This window comes from Homo sapiens, chromosome 12 (genome assembly GCF_000001405.40).
Source record: "Homo sapiens chromosome 12, GRCh38.p14 Primary Assembly".
NCBI lineage: Eukaryota > Metazoa > Chordata > Mammalia > Primates > Hominidae > Homo > Homo sapiens.
In genome coordinates this window covers 93007148-93025780 of record NC_000012.12, presented here as the reverse complement: position 1 = coordinate 93025780, position 18633 = coordinate 93007148, and the positions used below count along the sequence as shown (strand labels likewise).

The window sequence follows — 18633 nt, the reverse complement described above, 5'->3', positions numbered from 1 at the left end:
TGAAGAAACTGAGATATGAAGAACTTAAGTAATTTGCTCAAGGTCATATAACCAGTATGAGGTGGAGGCTAACAGCAACATAGCCAACCTGAATCAAGATATCTCCACTACACAACACTGCCTCCTAGAGGGATCACATTTGTTTTGCTTATTCTTGACCATGCTCAACATCAAAGTCTTGCATTAAAAGATGTTTAGTACACATTTCTTGTGGACCTCACAGGTAGAAATGATTCTACCTTAAATATTTCAGTTCAAGATGGTTTTAAGTAGTAAATGAATACATTGTCCATTGTCTCGCCATCATATTTTATACAGTCTCAAAGGTTTGAAGTCTAAACTTCCTAACTGCTAGTTAAAATCTATTATCTTTGTGTTTGCTTAACTTCTGCAGGACATATCAGGGAAGTTAAACATGTCTGTTATAAATGTTGGGTACCTAATTGCCTTACCTTATAGCTGAGCCAGAAGGCAGACGCTAAATAAAGAAAACCTCCTGGCTCACAATGACATACTGTCTTTGTACATCTTTCAAGCAGAGGAAAGATAACGGCCATGTATGAGTTTAGTCAAGACTGCTGATTTGCAGTCTCTTCAGGAAATTGTAGTGTTTCCGAGGACAATATTCCTAGTCAAAATAGATTAAGCCTGAAGCCAAAATGACGACCACAGTCAAAGTTAATAATACTGTATGTTTGGTTGGAAACAACTGGAAGAAAAATAAGTTATCATAGCAGACAGTCTGCCCTATAATCCTCCTTTATTCTCAGGTCCTTGTCACCAGTGGAATGGCAGAAAATAAAGTTTTCTCTTTGAGGAGTTTGTATTTGTAGACAGACAATAAAAACCATTTACTCTGATGAAATGAAGTCTAGGGTTAGAGGGGCCTAAGTATGTTTTAGAGGAAAACTGGCCCTTTACTCACCCAGTTTCAAGTTTTTGAAGAATACAAGATACTCCTATAACATTCTCCTAGATGCAGAAGGAGGATGTACTGCTCTCTGGTAGTGGAGGCTAAGCCACCTTGACAGAGGAGACAGGAAACTAAGGCTTCTCTTAAAGATGGGGGCTATCAAGATTAGTAAACCACCAGCAATCGACTTCTGGGTATAAACCCAAAAGAATTACAAGCAGAGGCCGGATGCAGTGGCTCACACTTGTAATCCCAGCACTTTGGGAGGCCAAGGCAGGTGGATCACTTGAGGTCAGGAGTTCAAGACCAGCTTGGTCAACACAGTGAAACCCCATCTCTATTAAAAATACAAAAATTAGCCTGGTATGGTGGCAGGCACCTGTAATCCCAGCTACTCAGGAGGCTGAGGCAGGAGAATCACTTGAACTCAGGAGGCAGAGGTTGCAATGAGCCAAGATCACACCACTGCATTCCAGCCTGGGCAACAAAGTGAGACTGTCTCAAAAAAAAAAAAAAAAAAAAAAATTACAAGCAGAGAGTCCAAGAGACATTTGTACTCCTATATTTGCAGGAGCACTGTTCATAACAGCCAAAAGATGGAAGCACCCCAAGTGTCCATGTGTAGATGAATGGAGAAACAAATGTGTACTATGCACGCAATGGAATATTAGCCTTAAAAAGGATAAAAATTCTGACCTGTGCTACACCATGGATGAAACTTGAGGATATTATGCTAATGAAATAAGCCAATCACAAAGGATAAATACTGTATGATTTTACTTTTATGAAGTATCTAGAGTAGTCAAATTCCCAGAGACAGACAGAAAGAAGACTGCTGGTTTCCAGGGATGAGAAGGGGAAGGGGCCATGGGAATTTCTGCTTAATGAGTGCAGAGTTTTAGTCTGGAAAGATAAAAAAAAAAGTTCTGGGGATCGATGGTGGTGACGATAACACAACAATGTGAATGTACTTAATGTCATTGAACTGTACACTTAAATTGATTAAAATGGTAAATCTTATGCTATTGAAAAAAAGACTAGTAAGCCAAAGAGTGGTGAGAATGGGGCTATTGGAGATGACAGTGGTGAAGGAGAAGAGAAGGAGCAATGAAATACATCTTTAGATATGTTGAGAAACATATCTTTAGATAAGATTTCCCAACCATGTTATGGTAAGAAAACGAGTCAGGCCCAGTGGCTCACACCTGTAATTCCACCCCTTTGGGAGGCTGAGGCAGATGGATTGCTTGAGCCCAGGAGTTCGAAGTGAGCCTGGGCAACATGGTGAAACCCTATCTCTACAAAAAATACAAAAAATTAACCAGGCTTGGTGGCGTATACCTGTAGTCCCAGCTACTCAGGAGGCTGAGGTGGGAGAATCACTTGAGCCCAGGAGGTCGAGGCTACAGTGAGCCATGATTGTGCCACTGCATTCCAGCCTGGATGAAAAAAAAAAAAAAAGTAAAGGGAAATCTTATCAGGCGATAATTGTACTAAGTCACTGAGTGCTTACCAATTATCAAGGATTAATTAGGCTAAGGGCCTTGCATTATGCATTAACTTATTTTTTCTTCACAATAGCCCCATGGGGATGGGTGCTACTATTATATCCTTTTGAGATTTAGCAGGATTAACCATCTGTCTGAGGCACGGAGTTGATGAGTGCCAACAGAGCCAGGAGTTGAAGCCAGGGTGTCTGCTGAGCCCAGTGGTTCTCAAACATGTGTGCACCGGAATCTCCTGGAGGGACTGGGAAACCACACATTGCTGGACCTAACCCCCAGACTATCTGAGTCACTAGGTCTGGGGCAGGGGTCAAGGATTTGCATTTCTAACAAGTTCCCCAGTAATGCTCATGTTGCTGGTTGGGGACCACACTTGGAGAATTAGTGAACTAGCGTGTGCTCTTAACTGCTGCAAGGTAATAGCAGAAGGAAGGACTTGCTCTACACGGAAGGAACCTGGGACAATGGCACAGGGTAACTTGATGTGCTGAAAGGAGTTAGAGCAGGTCAGAGAGTGATGGGCAGAGTTCCCTACCCTTTATCAGCTGTGCCACCCTCTTTGCTGTGACAACAGGGGCAGCTGCTACTCTCCATCAGCAAGGCGTGAGCTTTGAGGTGTTTTGCCCAGGAAGTAATGGCCAAAGATCGATAGAGTCATACATTCTCATCATTTTCTTTCCCCTGGCCTACCCAAATATTCCATGTCCTTTAAGCTCCAGATGAAGTCCCATCTAAGGCTGATGTCTTGGTCTTCATAACTCAGATTGTATTTAAACTTAGTGTTACACAAGTTAGCATTTAATTATCCTCGAACTGATTTATGTGCTTTTGTCTCTCTTCCCCATCTAGTTTTAAAGCTTTTTGAGGTCAAGGACTGTGGCATATCTTTATCTCGGACTTCCAATGTGGTTAGAACAGTCTTAGTCAGACTGGATGTATAATCGATGATTATTAAAAAAAATTGTTCAGCAAGTTAGAGATTATCATTATATCATACTAATAAAAATAAGAGTAAGCATATGATGAACATATTTCAGAGAACTAAGGGTTGGTTCGTTGCTGGCTGTCCTGTTCGCAGTTCAAATGGTGGCACAGATAGGAGTACTCGTGGTTCAAGACACCTAAGTGACATCTGCATAAATCTAAGAAGCCTGTAAGGGGATGAGTGTGCCTTGATATTGTGCAATGCACACCTGCACTGCCTCAAGCCATGTCCCTGTGTACTGAGTGACCCCTACACGGACACTACTCCCTTGCAAGGAAGGTGATGTCCTTATAAATATCATTTCAGCTCTCCCATAATAGCTGGCACCTTTTTTTTTTTTTTTTTTTTTTTTTTTTGAGACAGAGTCTCACTCTGTCACCCAGGCTGGAGTGCAGAGGTGCAATCTGGGCTTACTGCAACCTCCACCTCCCAGATTCAAGCAATTCTCCTGCCCCAGCCTCCTGAGTAGCTGAGATTACAGGCACCCACCACCATGCCCAGCTAATTTTTTTTTGTGTGTGTGTATTTTTAGTAGAGACGGGGTTTCACCATGTTGGCCCGGCTGGTCTCGAACTCCTGACCTCAGGTGATCCGCCCACCTCAGCCACCCAAAGTGCAGGGATTACAGGTGTGAGCCACCGAGCCTGGCCTACTTTTTTTTTTCTTAAAGTCTAGTCAAGTACGGTAATGAGAAGGGAAGAGTAGGACGAATAATTCGATCTGCAGCTGACTGAAAAATCAATTAAGATATCTCACTACCTTGAGACCAGCCTGTACTTTTGCAATATTCTATAATTTTCTGATTCATGTTCTTTCTTCCCTCAACTAAATTTGTTAATAAGTACCTTACAGGTAGAACCATGTCTTATCTTTGTATCCCTAGTGTCTAGAGAAGAATGCTGCGTGTAGTAGATCCTCAAAATAAATGTTTGTTGAATGAAGGAACACGTGAGTGAAATATAAATAGTCATCGTCAGGTTATCTGAAACTCCAGACGTGGTGATACATGTAAAATGCGTTGAAACTGCTGAGAGAAAAAGCGAGATAATAGGCAAGTTCCAGGGAGAAAAGGTTTAAGGTGCCATCCAAGTTTTGGTAGTTTTCCTTTGTAGAGTCCTATAGTGGATTTTCCCACCAACAATCCAGAATGAGAGACGGATTGTTTCATCCTCCAGTTACACATGGGAAAATTGCTTTGGTCCCAGTTTTGTAATTTCCACATTTTTCCTTGATAATTTAGTCAAATCAGGACACTTTGTTTTCTTAAACAATTGTAATGCTCATATTAAAGGCCTTCATGGGGAAATTCCATTTTAGAAATTACTGTGGAGATGTAACAAAGCTCATCAGTGCCTTATTTTCTTGAAGAATATACTCCTTCATTTGACCTCCTAAAAACAACCTCCTTATCACTTGGCCTTTGTGTTAGTCATCAGTGCTGTTTACTGGGGGTCATGAGTATCTGCCCACCCTCCCTCTCAGCATGTGGTGGGATGGTGTTTCTCTGCTCCCCTTGAAGTTAGATAAGCCAGGTGACTTGCTTTGGCCAGTGAAATGTGAGGGAGTGGGGGATGTGTGTCACTTCCTGGTGGAAGTTTTAAGAACCAGTGTGCCCTTCCCTACCTTATCCTTCCCATTTCACTGGCGATGGGTCAAACTGAAGCCCCCATCAGCCTGAGGTCTCTCAGCAATTTCTATGAGTAATATGTTCACATTTCTTATAGATGGAAAGTCAAAACGATCAAAGAAAATGTTTCTTTGAAGTGCCTTAGAGAAATAACTGGCTAGACAGGTCTATTTCAACTCCTCCCTTTTATTTGAAGACATGACTTCATAGTGCATTACAATCTGTGTGAGCACGGGTGGCTTCAAAGGCCTATGCGGGATCAGCGGCCCTTCCCAGTGTAAACACGAATCTACTGTGTCTGATTAGTGCCTTTCACAGCCATCAGTCCCTGCCATTGTTAGGAACGCCAGGCTTAGAGTCAGAATTATAAGCTTTGTTTAATAAAAGATATTTACTCCTCAGTCCTGAGAGTTATCTGCAAGGTGTCCCTGTTCCCTAGTCCCTCCCAGACAGGCCACCCCACATCTTTTGCCTCTCTTTTGTTCTTGAAGTTCCGCAGTCACTCCCTGTGCAGAGGTAGCCTGGGTACTCTGCTGCTAGCTTTCATTTGCCCATATCCAGAGCTGGGCTGTGATAGAGACCCCTGCAGTATGGGAGCCTGGCTGACTGTTGGACTTTGTGGCTGCTGATCCTGCCTTGTTTCTTGGGCTTGGAGCCAGGGCTGACCTTGGACAAAGTACTAAGCAGGCTAACTTTGTTCTCAGACCCGCACATCCCTCTTCACACTTGGGCGACAGCACTGCATTGGACAAATGGGGGACTGACTCTCCCACTACACTTCCTAGCTGTGTGACCTTGAGCAAATGACTTAAAATCTTGACACCTCAGCTTCCTGAGCTCTTAAAGCTGGTACTGGTGCCTAGCTCAAAAGGTGACTGTGAGGGCCAAATAACACAATACATATATGCTTGGCATACTGTAATCCTTCAATCTATTTTAAGTTTTATTGTTAGTTTTATTAGTTTTAGTCTTACTAAGATGCAAATGACTGGCAAGGCGTGGATGTGTTCCTCCTGGGCTGTGGGAAGCCTGGTGTACAGGAGCCTAGTGTTCCTCCCGGAGGAGAGACAGTGACAGCAAGGCACACACACCTCAGCATGGCTCTGCACTGTCTGCTCACCTACATGCATAGAAGAACTCTTCTGGAATAGAAGACCCTTTATTTCTTTGTGAAAACAGCTTGTGCTGCTGAGGCAAATAACAGAAAATAATGAGCTCTGGAAAGTGATGGTTCTTAGGAAATCCTCAGCAATTTGGGATAAACGGGAGAGTGGAACATGAAGCTGGGCAGTGCCCAAGATCGATGCAGTGAATGAGTCCATAAGTCCATCACACACGTTCTGCGGAGAAAGGAAAACATGGTGTATGAAATGTTTTAGTAAGTACTAAACATTTACTAAACAGCTAGCACAAAAACTGCTTATCACGTGAGGCATAAAACTGTAGTAGAAGTTGGAAATGCACAAGTGGTGTGAGACCGTACAGAAAGCATGAATCTTGATGGAACTGAGACATGGGAGAAAGCAAGGGGCCCGGCTGATCATTGCATTTTCACAGGCTGAGGGATTGGTGTAAGATGTCCGATATATTCCTGTCCAAAGTCAAGTGTTGGCTTTACTCTGTTGGTGTGTGTCTGCCTCTCCATTGGCCAATGGCCTGCTTGAAGAGAGGGTTCTGTCTTCATCACTCTTCTCTCTCTTTCAAACTAGCTCTGTGTCTGGCACTTGGTAAGTGTCACCTAGGTGTTTAGTGAGTGAATAATTGAGTGAATCCATCTCAGGAGCCAGGTTCCAAGGTCTAAGCAGGTCTAGCATATAGGAAGCTTGTGCTAAGACAGTCAGCTAGGACCCGTAGGTGTCTGCCTAAGGACAGGATGGGTGGAGGCATAGGTGGGTAGGAAAGAGGCCAGCCTCCTCCAGGGCATTCCAGTTATGAAGTGTGAAGGTCTGCAGGGACTTTGAACTCAGCATTGCAAAAGTTTACCGGTTCCATTGATGAAGATACAGGAAAAGGTAGGCTGAGATCCTGGTAGAGCCACTCAGGAGGTTAAAAAGACCATGGTTTTGAGGGAAGCATGGAGCCAAAATGGTGTCAAACCTCTTAGATCTCAGAAGGAACCCAACCTTGAAGATTAAGTTATCTGTGTCTAGAGAACATCATACCTTGGGCTGGGTGCAGTAACTCACCCCTGTAATCTCAGCACTTTGGGAGGCCAAGGTGAGAGTATGGGTTGAGCCGAGGAGTTTGAGACCAGCCTGGGCAACATATTGAGACCCCAGCTCTACTAAAAAAAAAAAAGTTAGCATGGTGGTACATGCCTGTAGTCTCAGCTATGCAGGAGGCTGAGGTGGGAAGATAGCTTGAGCCCAGGAGCTACAGGCTGCAGTGAGCCATAATCGCACTACTGCTCTCCAGCTTGAGTGACTTTTGGAGATCTTGTCTCCAAAAATTAGTTAGTTAATTAAGTATATAAAACTAAAAAAATAAAATTCTACTTTGTTTGAGGCACCTCAGGATCTTACCCGGATACAATAGCAATCATTTTTTGAGCACTTTTATGCCAGACATTGTGCTAAGTGTTTTGTCTACTTTATCTAATTTAATTTTCATAACAGCTTCAAAGATAAGTACCATGATTCCCATTTTAAAGATGGGAACTGAGGCTTAGTAAAGTTAAGCAACCAATAAATTATAGATCAGAGATGCAAAGCCACACTGCATGACTACAATATCTCATGCCATTGACCACCAAGAAAAACTCCTACCTTTATTTTATTTGTAGGTTAGGGTGTGTGAATATGTGTGTAGACTTAAAATATCTACCCTCGTTTTATGATTCTTCTACAAATGTTGCTTCTAGAACTCCTTGGCTATACCCTTAAATTTCTAGACTAGAGAGACACAGATGGACTTTATGGTGGTACCCAGGATCTCTATCTCCTGAAGTTTCTGCCCTCTTGAGTGTAGGCAGGACCTGTGACTTGCCTGTAACCAGTGGAATATGGCAAAGGTAATGGGGTGTCATTCCCAAGATCATGTTTGTTCATGTAGAACTCTGTTTTCTTAGTAGACCCAGGTAGAGTCTCTCTCTCTCTCTCTCTTTCTCTCTCTGTTGCTGACTTTGAAGAATTGAGTTGCCATGAACCCTACAATGGCAAAGAAATAAATTCAACAACCTGAGGGAGTATGCACAGAGATCTTTACCTGGTCAAGCCTCTGATGAGAACCCAACCTTGACCAACACCTTGATTGCCACCAGGTGAGACCCTAAGGACAGAACCCAGCAGAGCTGTGTTCAGGCTCCTGACTCAAAGAGCATGTGAGATAATAAGCATGTGTTGCTTTAAGCTGTTAAGCGTGTGGTAGTTTGTCACACAGCATAGAAAACAAATACACAGACCATTACCTGAAAAACAAAAACAAAAACAAAAAACCTTGCTGTGTGATGATTGGAGAGACACTGGGTTCAGAGGATGGGGCAAAGCTGCTCTTATTTTTTTCCATTGGTGGAAATTAGTCTATGAGAATCCTCCTCCTTTGTGAGCAACAAGAAGGCCTTTGTTAAAAAAAAAAAAAAAAAAAAAAAAAAGCCTATCTCCCTTTGTTCTCCAGCCAGCCTCTCTCTCTCGGGTGTCCTCTAGAGTCCTAGCTCTCAAGCTCTCAGTGGAGCTGGGCAGTGGGGAATAATGTCATAGTCCCTTCAGGCTGTTATCACAAAATGCCATAGACTGGGTAGATTATAAACACAGAAATTTATTTCTCACAGTTCTGGAGGCTGGGAAGTCCAAAATTAAGGTATTGACAGATTTAGTGTCTGGTGAGGGCCTGCTTCCTCATAGCCAGTCGTTTTCTCACTGTAACCTCACATGCTAGAAGAAGCAGGGGATCTCTCTGAGGCCTGTTATATGGGGCACTAATCCCATGATGAAGGTTCCACCCTCCGGACTTCATCTAACTCTAACGACCTCCCAGAGGCCCCATTCCTAATATCATCACCTTGGGAATTAGAACTCCAACATATGAATTTCAGGGGAATGCATATTCAGTCCATTGCAGAGGGTTCAAGTCCCTTCCATTATGCCCAATGGAGGGGAAATAAAAATGGTATGGCTTCAGGGTGAAGTATCTACAGGATAAACATATCTTTCCATATCCTGATTAATTCTAATCATATATTCTCTGTATTATGATGCCTGATGTTCCTGGGGTTTTTTTTTTGTTTTTTTTTTTTTTTGCCATGTTACCAAAGACTCCCTTCTATTATTTTAGTTGGTATAAAACAGGGTCTAATTAAGTTGTTAGTTCATTACCTCACCTCCGGGAAAGAGGGAAAAGAATAAAATTTCACTGGGCCTCACCTCTTATCAGAAAAAGGTTTTATATCACTGAGAATAGGGAAACTGCAGGTTAAAGGCTAAATTCCTTTGGTTGTAATGTAATACCAAAGCTGTTCTTTTTTTTTAAGGATCAAATAAAGCCTGTACTTAAACAAATTGTGTGTGCAAATACAATCGCTGTCCCTCTTGCTGTGACATGTTTGTGCTGGCTGAAGCTTGAAGTATTCTACCACTGAAGCTCACAGGGGTTTGGGTGGAGAGCTGATCCTGGGCAAAGAGGGCAGGTGACTTATTGATTGCATGAAAATTCCCTCCCTGCAAGCAAAACAATAGCATCACTGCCATTCGTGCCTCAGCTTCATGGTGGGGCGGTAGGAGAATGTGTGTTTTGCCTGCTTTGTTGCAAGGAGGAAAGGGAGGGTTGCTCTGTCCTGGTTGAGGAGGCAAAGGTGGCATTCCTGTATTTTTGTTGGATCCCTTTGCATGAACAACCTCACCTGTCAAAACATGGTGAGAAATAGAAGTAGAACAAAGAAGAGAGAAGCAGGAACCAGTGAGAAGACAGATTGAACTGAGCCAGGACCTTAAAATACAAGCTGTAAAATGTCCGATTGCATTTTATTTTACAGCTGCTTGAACTTACCATTTTTGGCTAACGTGTATGTGTGTATTTATATATTTGTCTATATAACTAACCATGAAATTGTTATGTCTAGGCCAATGGATTTTTTTATTTTTATTTTTTAGAGACAGGGTCTTGTTCTGTCACCCCAACTGGAGTGCAGTGACATGATCATAGCTCACTGTAACCTCCAACTCCGGGACTCAAGCAATTCTCCATCCTCAGCCTCCAGAATAGCTGGGACTATAGCAGTGAGCCACTGCTCCCAGCAACAATGGATATTTTTTAATATTATCGTGTGTGTAGATATAATCATAAATATATAATTTCTGGACAACAAGTATCAAACATATTAATTTGCTTTGTGTAATGCCTTTCACCACCTAACAATAGCTAGTGATTTCCAGCTTTTTAAGACACAGCTTTATAAATGAAGTGCTTAGGCAGTGGAGTGGCTCAGGCCTATAATCCTAGCACTTTGGGAGGTTGAGATAGGCAGATCGCCTGAGGTCAGGAGTTTGAGGCCAGCCTGGCCAACGTAGTGAAACCCAATCTCTACTAAAAATACAAAAAATTAGCTGTGTGGTGGCGCATGCCTGTAATCCCAGCTGCTTGGGAGGCTGAGGCAGGATAATCACTGGAACTGGGGAGCCGGAGGCTGCAGTGAGCCGAGATCATGCCACTGCAATCCAGCCTGGGCAACAGAGCGAGACCCTGTCTCAAAACAAATAAACAAATAAATAAATAAGCAAAGTGCTTTCACATAATTATCTCAGTTAGAGGCCTGAACATCAGCTCACCCTCTTTTTCTCTGAGGACTCTTAGAACTTCCACTCTTGACTTTCAGGCCCAGTCTAACAACGACGTATCCCTCAGAATTTCATGATAACCAAGGGCAGCTCTGTCACTTGGGCTCTGCTCTCCAGTGTGACTCAAAGCCTTCTTCCTATTCCTGGTATTTCTGAGTTCCTGAAACTGCCCTCCTGCCTCTTGTCCTGGGATCATCTCATGCAGCATTTTCTCCAAATATTCCTTTCACCTGTTTGCTCTAACGGACATTGGAAGACTTCTGAGGCCATTTCCTTCCCCACTGCCTCTTCAAGGACAGGATAGTTTTTTGTTTTGTTTTGTTTTTTCTTTCTCATCCCCCTTGCACCCTAAGGCCAAGAAGTAGAAAAAGCATCCCCCTGGCTCCTCACTGTTGACTGCAAAGCATTTCTCTCCCTCCCTCCTGACACTGTCTCCTCTTGCTCCTTTCCCCCCATCTTGGACCAGTCATCTCCTTGACCTCCGCTCATTCCTGCTCATTCAAAAACACTTGAGCCCCTGACCAATGTGCTTTCTCTCCACCCACTCCTGCATCATTCTCTGACCTCAGCTTTCACAGGCTGCCTCTCTACACCCTGATATCTCAGTTCCTTAACTTCTTTACCCCACTCCACCTCATCTCAGCCAGTCACCCCCTTGGCCACTACTGGGCTTTTTATTTACACCACCAGTACCTGCTTTCTTTCTGAAATTTCCAACTACTATCTATTTCTTAGTCTTTGGCTGACTGGCTTTGTAGTTACTTTTTTTTTTTTTTTTTTTTTTGAGATGGAGTCTCGCTCTGTCACCCAGGCTGGAGTGCAGTGGTGCAATCTCGGCTCACTGCAACCTCCGCCTCCCTGGTTCAAGCGATTCTCCTGCCTCAGCCTCCTTAGTAGCTGGGATTACAGGTGCGCACCACCATGCCTGGCTAGTTTTTGTATTTTCAGTAGAGATGGGGTTTTCCCATGTTGGCCAGGCTGGTCTCGAACTCCTGACCTCAGGTGATCCACCCACCTTGGCCTCCCAAAGTGCTGGGATTACAGGCATGAGCCACCAAGCCCAGCCCGTAGCTACATTTATTTTACCTTAAGCATGGACTCTGACACTTAAGAATTATCTGTTAGCCTTCTATCTTTACTTATTATTTATTTTTTGGAGGCAGGGTCTCCCTCTGTTGCCTAGGCTGGAATGTGGTGGCATGATCACAGCTCACTGCAGCCTCTGCCTCGGATCCTCCCACCTCAGCCTCCAGAGTAGCTGGGACCACAGTACTCTGCACCATCACACTAGGCTAATTTTTTGTTTTGTATAGATGGGGTCTCACTTTGATGCCCAGGTTGGTCTTGAACTTCTGGGCTTGAGGGATCCCCCCGACTTGGCCTCCCAAAGTGCTAGGATTACAAGCATGAGCCATTACACCTGGCCCCATCTTCATTTTCTTCCCATCTGGTTTAGAGTTCATTTCCATTGATATCACTTCCTTAAAATTATTCTTGGCTCATTAGATATTCATAGACAAAAATAAATCTTCATCTAAATCTCATACCTTATACAAAAATTAACTGATTATGAATTATAGAGGTAAATGTAAAATGCAAAACTATGAAGCTTTTGGAAGATAACATAGAAGAGTCTTTGGGACCTTGGGCTTGGTAAAGTGTTCTTGAATGTGATACCAAAAGCACAAACCGTTAGAAAAATAATAAATTGGACTTTATCAAAAATTTAAAAGTTTTACTCTGCAAAAGACCCTGTTGAAGATAAAAAGACAAGCTAAAGACTGGGAGAAATATTTGCAAATCACACATCTGACAAAGGACTAGTATCTGGAATATATAAAGAACTCTGAACCTCAACATTAAAAAGAATCTAGTTGAAAGTTGGCAAAAGACATCCAGAGAGTTCACCAGAGAGGATACAAAGATGGCAAACAAGCATTTGAAGATATGTTCAATATCACTAGCCATTAAGGGAAATGCAAATTAAGACCATTACTATACACATATTAGAACAGTTGAAATGAAAACTAATGACAACATATTGATATAAATAAATTGTCAAATAAATAAATAGATGGAGGAGAATAGACAAATCTTCCATGTAAATGAATTTCAAACAATTTATGAGGGTACTGTACCCTGAAGGAGGTGGAACATAGCTTCCCATTCTTTAAGTGACTTCCTTCTGAAGAGTAGTGTGGAAAGAGGGAAAAGTAACTTCACAATGAAGAAATGTGACAAACACTATTTCAACCAGTTGAGCAAGGTTGATATCAATAGTGATGTTCTATTGATACTATGTAACCTTGATAGAATATGATGAGAATTCTATCAAGAATTCTTTTTTATTTTTTATTTCTTTTTGAGATGGAGTCTCGCTCTGTCGCCCAGGCTGGAGTACAGTGGAGCGATCTCCGCTCATTGCAACCTCCGCCTCCCAGGTTCATGCCATTCCCCTGTCTCAGCCTCCTGAGTAGCTGGGACTACAGGCTCCCACCACTGCATCTGGCTAATTTTTTGTATTTTTAGTAGAGACGGTGTTTCACTGTGTTTGCCAGGATGGTCTCAATCTCCTGACCTCGTGATCCACCCGCCTCGGCCTCCCAAATTCTATCAAGAATTCTTGACTGCACTTTATCTGTGTGGTCTTCCTCCCCACAACCCCCATCTGAACATGAGAAAAACATTAGAAAACATTATGAAATCAAGTACAGTTAACTCTTAAACAATATGGGTTTGAACTGTGTGAGTCTACTTAAACTCAGATTTTCTTCCACCTCTGCTGCCCCTGAAACAGCAAGACCAACCCCTTCTCTTCCTCCTCTTCTTCATCCTATTCAATGTGAAGATGATGAGGATGAGACCTTTGTGATTATCCACTTAATGAGTAGTAAATATATTTTCTCATCCTTATGATTTTCTTAATAACATTTTCTTTTCTCTAGCTTACTTTATTTGTAAGAATACAATATATAATACATATACAAAATATGTGTTAATTGACTATTTATGTTAACAGTAAGGCTTCTGGTTAACAGCAGGCTATCAATAATTAAGTTTTGGTGGGGAGTCAAAAGTTATACTTGGATTTTCAACTCCTGGAAGGGTCAACACCCCTAACTTCCACATTGTTCAAGAGTCAACTGTCTATGTTAAATAGAGACTTGAACACAACTTTTCTGTCCCTAGAACCAGTGCTTTTTGTACTGTGTTTAACTTACCAGTGGGAAGGTGCTTTTTGATGGCTGTGGATTCAACCCATAGCCACGCAGAGTCTCAGGCTCCTCTGGATTACACAAAATTCAGGAATTCAAAGACTAAAGGACCCATTTCAATGGTTCCCAAATGCCGGGAAGGGCCAGAGTTTTTACTGGCCCACAGAACACCTATTGTAAAAATTCCCAGCTTCTCTCTGTAAGGCAAGGAGACCATATGGTTCTGCCCTGAAAGTGAGGGGCAATAACTGAGGAGAGTCCTGAGCTTACTTCCTGCGGAGTCCCAGCCACCCACCTGGCCTGGCTCAACCGGCCTTTCTACCTGCCCATTGTAAGCAAGGTAAAAGGAAGGACTTGAGAATGTGGGAGCTACTGTTCCTGAGCATATTGATTTGCCTAGACTATGTCAGAATAATTGAAACGGCATTAGGCCGGGCATGGTGGCTCATGCTTGTAATCCCAGCATATTTGGGAGGCCGAGGTGGATGAGTCACCCAAGCTAAAGAGGTTGACACCAGCCTGACCAACATAGCGGAACCCCGCCTCTACTAAAAATACAAAAAATTAGCTGGGCATGGTGGCGGGCACCTGTAATCCACCTACTCTGGAGGCTGAGGCAGGAGAATCGCTTGAACCCAGGAGGCAGAGTTTGCAGTGAGTCCAAATCGTACCATCACTCCAGACTGGGCAACAAGAGTGAAACTCCATCTCAAAAACAAAAAACAAAACACTATTAAGACTATTGTTTTTATTTTTGCTCATATCTGTAAAACAGAATTTTTCATGATGGCACTGATAAAAATATAACACCAAAACAAATGACACCTTAGAGCCCTTCATCATGGGTGCTATCAAATACCAGAGTATGAAATACATATAGTGCTATCAAATTAAAAAAAAATTGTACCAAGGGAACATAATATTTGTTGTAGTATAAAATAAATTTTAATGTTATAAATGTTTCTAAATGTATATAAAACTATAAGTATATCCTTTAAAATTATCTACGGTTAACAAATTGTATTTCTTGGGAAGAGCTCTTTTGTATTCTGACATTATGAACTTCCTACATTTTTGGTGTGGAAATATCCTTTCCTGTCTGAAATGATGGCAATGGTAGCTTTTTGTTATTGTTGTTATTGGCAAAATTAACAGTTTGGCAACTCTATGTTAGCTCTTTCTACTGCCTTGGGAAATTTTGCTGTCCTGAAAACTTAAAGTCTGAAAACTACTAACCTAGGAACGCTATTATTCTAAAATATAGGAGAATTAAATAAATGATTTTTAAAAATCCTATATGAATTAAAAACTCATTTGGCTGGGGGAAGGCTGGGAAAAAAAAAGAACTCAGAAACTTTGGCTGGTTTCATTAGTTTGTGTTTCACATAATCCACTGTGTAAAATTTCACTTTCTCCTACCACTTCTTTACTAGGTTATTTTATAAACACCAAATCTGAAAAGAACTGAAATTGTAGAAACTGGAATATATTATAGTTCCGTAGTATCATATATCACAACTCTTTAGAACATGTATTTTTCACTGAATGATACACTATAAAGGTTTGCTTTCATTTGTTGTCTGTGTGTTTGCTTTGATATTTTTGCTTTTGATGTCACATGAGTACGATGCATTAGTGAAATTTGCAAAATGTGCTCTGTAATAGTTGGGGTAGCTTCTTATGTTTGTATCAAAGAAACTAAGTTGATGAGAAATATGGAAATGTGCTTCTGAGTTTAGTAATTTTTTCCCTTACATTGTATAATGTAAGCAATAGACCCATTCCATTAAAGTGTGAAAATAATTTCCTCATGAATTCTGTATCAATGTGGGAAATTTTAGCATGTATGGTTTTACTATGCCTAGCTGCTCAAAGGCTGTCTAAGGAGGTAAAAATAGGCACTGGTTGGATTTTCCCTTCATTTCAGTCCATGCACCAATTCAAATGAATCTAATTTTGCCTGATTAGAAAGCAGATCCCCATCCCTTTACTCCATTCCATGCCATCTCCATTTCAATGAGCTGCGGAAGGGAAACACCATTTCTCTGACACTGACAGTTTCAGAATGAGACCATTTGCAGAGGCTGAGTGTTTCGCCCATAGCAGGTAGTTTTACATCAATTTGCATTAATAGCAAAATTGGAAGAAGTAGCTTGTTAGTATTTTCCTGCTTGGCCTGAAGACTAAAATATGCGATGTTGAGTCCTATACCATTTTGAAAATTCATTTCCCTTTGGAATATATGTGCATTCCAAAATTGACTCAGATTAGAGCTTTTACTGTTGATATTTAGAAACAGTTTGACAATGGCTGCTTAGATACAATGTGTTGCACTTATCCCAGTTTAATTTCAATTTTATTTTTATTGCAAAGAAGGAGATGAGAAAATGTCAGGTCTTAATTTGGAGTAGCTCTTTATGTCCAAGTAAACAGAGAGTAAATTCTTTATTGGCGTCGCTTCTTTCAAATAATGAAATAGTTGATGGAGATTTCTCTGTACATAACAGTGATTTGGCAAATATGAAAATGTTGGGGAGCTCAGAGAACAGTAGAAAAGGTCACGTGTGGTCGCTCACGCCTGTAATCCCAGCTCTTTGGGAGGCCGAGGCAGGAGGATCACTTGAGCCCAGGAGTTCAAGACCAGCCTGGGCAACATGCCAAAACACCGCCTGTACAAAAAATACAAAAATTAGCTGGGCATTGTGGCCCGTGCCTGTAGTTCCAGCTACTTAGGAGGCTGAGGTGGGAGGATCACCTAAGGTAGGGAAGTCGAGGCTGTGGTGAGCTATGATCATGCCACTGCATTCCAGCCTGGGTGACAGAGTGAGACCTTGTCTCAAAAACAAACAAACAAAAAAAAGGAGCCAAACATCTCAAGTTGATGAATACATGAAAATGTAGCATCAAGAACATTCAGAAAAGGGACATAGAATTTGGAGATGAGAAATAAATTTGCAGAAAATACTTCAAGACACCAAAAGTTCCCCAAAATTTTAAGCTAAAACTACATGTGTTAAGTTATTGTTAAGGAATAGAAGAGGTTAATATTTTTAGCAGGAAGAAACTATTAGCAAATCCACAACTTATACTTTTATTTATTCTTCCATTGTGAAGGATACACATATGTTAGCTTAAGTAGGATCTCCTGCCTTACACAATTTCACTGTGGAAAAAATAATATTGACCAAGCCTCTGATCCTGCCTGACATGAAATTGATGATACACATTTAGAATCATGGAATTTTTCAGCTGGAAAGCGCCTTTGGATGACAATTAAAGGCATTAAAAATGTGTGTCCTTCACACCAGTTTCATTTACAATAAGTAATCATAAATGCCACAAAGATAGAAAGTTTAAATAATTATACTGGACAATAGTGCAAATGGGGTCCTCGTTGATGAATGTATTAATTCTCTCTTCTACTAGTGGGTAAAGCTCTTCATAGAATTCTAAAATTTTTGATCTGGGCAACACTTTGGGGATGACTGATTTTGCACAGATGAGGAAACTGAAACTGAGATAGGAGAGTTGACAACATGAAAATCTCACAGCCACTTAGTAATAAAGCCAAGTTCAGCATAGAGAAAGACTGAGCTTTGTGCAAATAGAACATTAGGGCCTTTATTCAGGGAAGCAGCCTTCTTCCACAGACCAGTATGGACTCAGAGGAGGGTGGGAGACACAAACTCAGATAATAGTGAGAGACGAGGAACCCAGACCAGAGCTGAACCTTCTTTGAAAGGCTCTGTGGGAGACCAGAATATCTTCCCCAAAATATGAAGGATTGTTGAGCTGAAGATGCTCAAGAAGAAACAGGTACAGGAGAGGTCTCTGCCTCAATTTGTCCAAAAGGAGGACATAGATTTACAAAGGCAAAAAATATCCTGGCCACCAACCCCCGCCTTTTCCCTCAAGAAAAGTTTAACCACTGAAGACAGCTTTAGACCCTCATCAGCCTAGAGTCGGAACCAGAGGAATTTGCATTGGCAGGCTTTCCTAACTAGCGTTTATCTGCTGTTTGTTTGCTTTTCCTTGAGTTGCCAGCCTGCTCACAGAAACTCAAAAAGTCCTTTCTTGTTGTCTTGCCACTTGTCTAAAAATCTATTGTTCTTTGTTGAAGATGCTATATATAAACTGGAACTTAAAGCCACCTCTTTGAAAACTCATTCTCTGGATGTCCCCCATGCGTGTATAAAATATCCATATTAATAAACTTCTGTTTTTCTCCTGTTTGTCTGTTGTGATGGGTCCGTTCCAACTAAGAACCTGTTGGAGGTTATTGTTACTTCCCTGCAGCTCTTTCTTGTCTGTGTGTGTGTTCATCGTCTCCTTGGTAAGAAAGAACTGTTAACTTAGATCAGAAACTCACAGAATATGATTTGTAACTCGTTGTATATAAAGGATCCTAAATGAACTGTTTCGAAACCCAGAGACAGTATGCCAGAGTGGCCAGGACCTTGGGCCCTGGATGCCAATTGTCTGGGTTTGGTTGTAGGGTGAGAGAGCGGAGAAATCGCCATCCAAACCCTTGTAGGTCATGACAAAGTTTTGTATTGTTATCCCAAGAGCTTTGGGAATTCACAGAGACGAGTGTGTTCCAATTCACATCCAAAAAGCTTA

The 18633-nt window shown here is 41.7% G+C and overlaps 2 long non-coding RNA genes across 2 annotated transcripts in view, besides 1 other annotated feature; one reads left to right on the top strand and one right to left on the bottom strand.

The window, feature by feature from the left end:
- LOC643339 (uncharacterized) overlaps positions 1 to 18633 on the top strand; it is a 373979-nt gene that overhangs the window by 351956 nt on the left and 3390 nt on the right. The window lies entirely within an intron of this gene.
- The window catches only part of LINC02413 (long intergenic non-protein coding RNA 2413), a 28863-nt gene continuing 16403 nt past the window's right edge, over positions 6174 to 18633 (bottom strand). Inside the window, exon 4 of the long non-coding RNA XR_945212.3 lies at positions 6174 to 6370. This is a non-coding gene — a long non-coding RNA (long intergenic non-protein coding RNA 2413). The remainder of the gene's footprint in view (positions 6371 to 18633) is intronic.
- Positions 17505 to 17814: an enhancer, noted in NCBI's record as "active region_6760". NCBI's record gives its function as "activates an Ori minimal core promoter by ATAC-STARR-seq in GM12878 lymphoblastoid cells {active_cell/tissue: GM12878}" and the evidence as "EXISTENCE:reporter gene assay evidence [ECO:0000049][PMID:35858748]".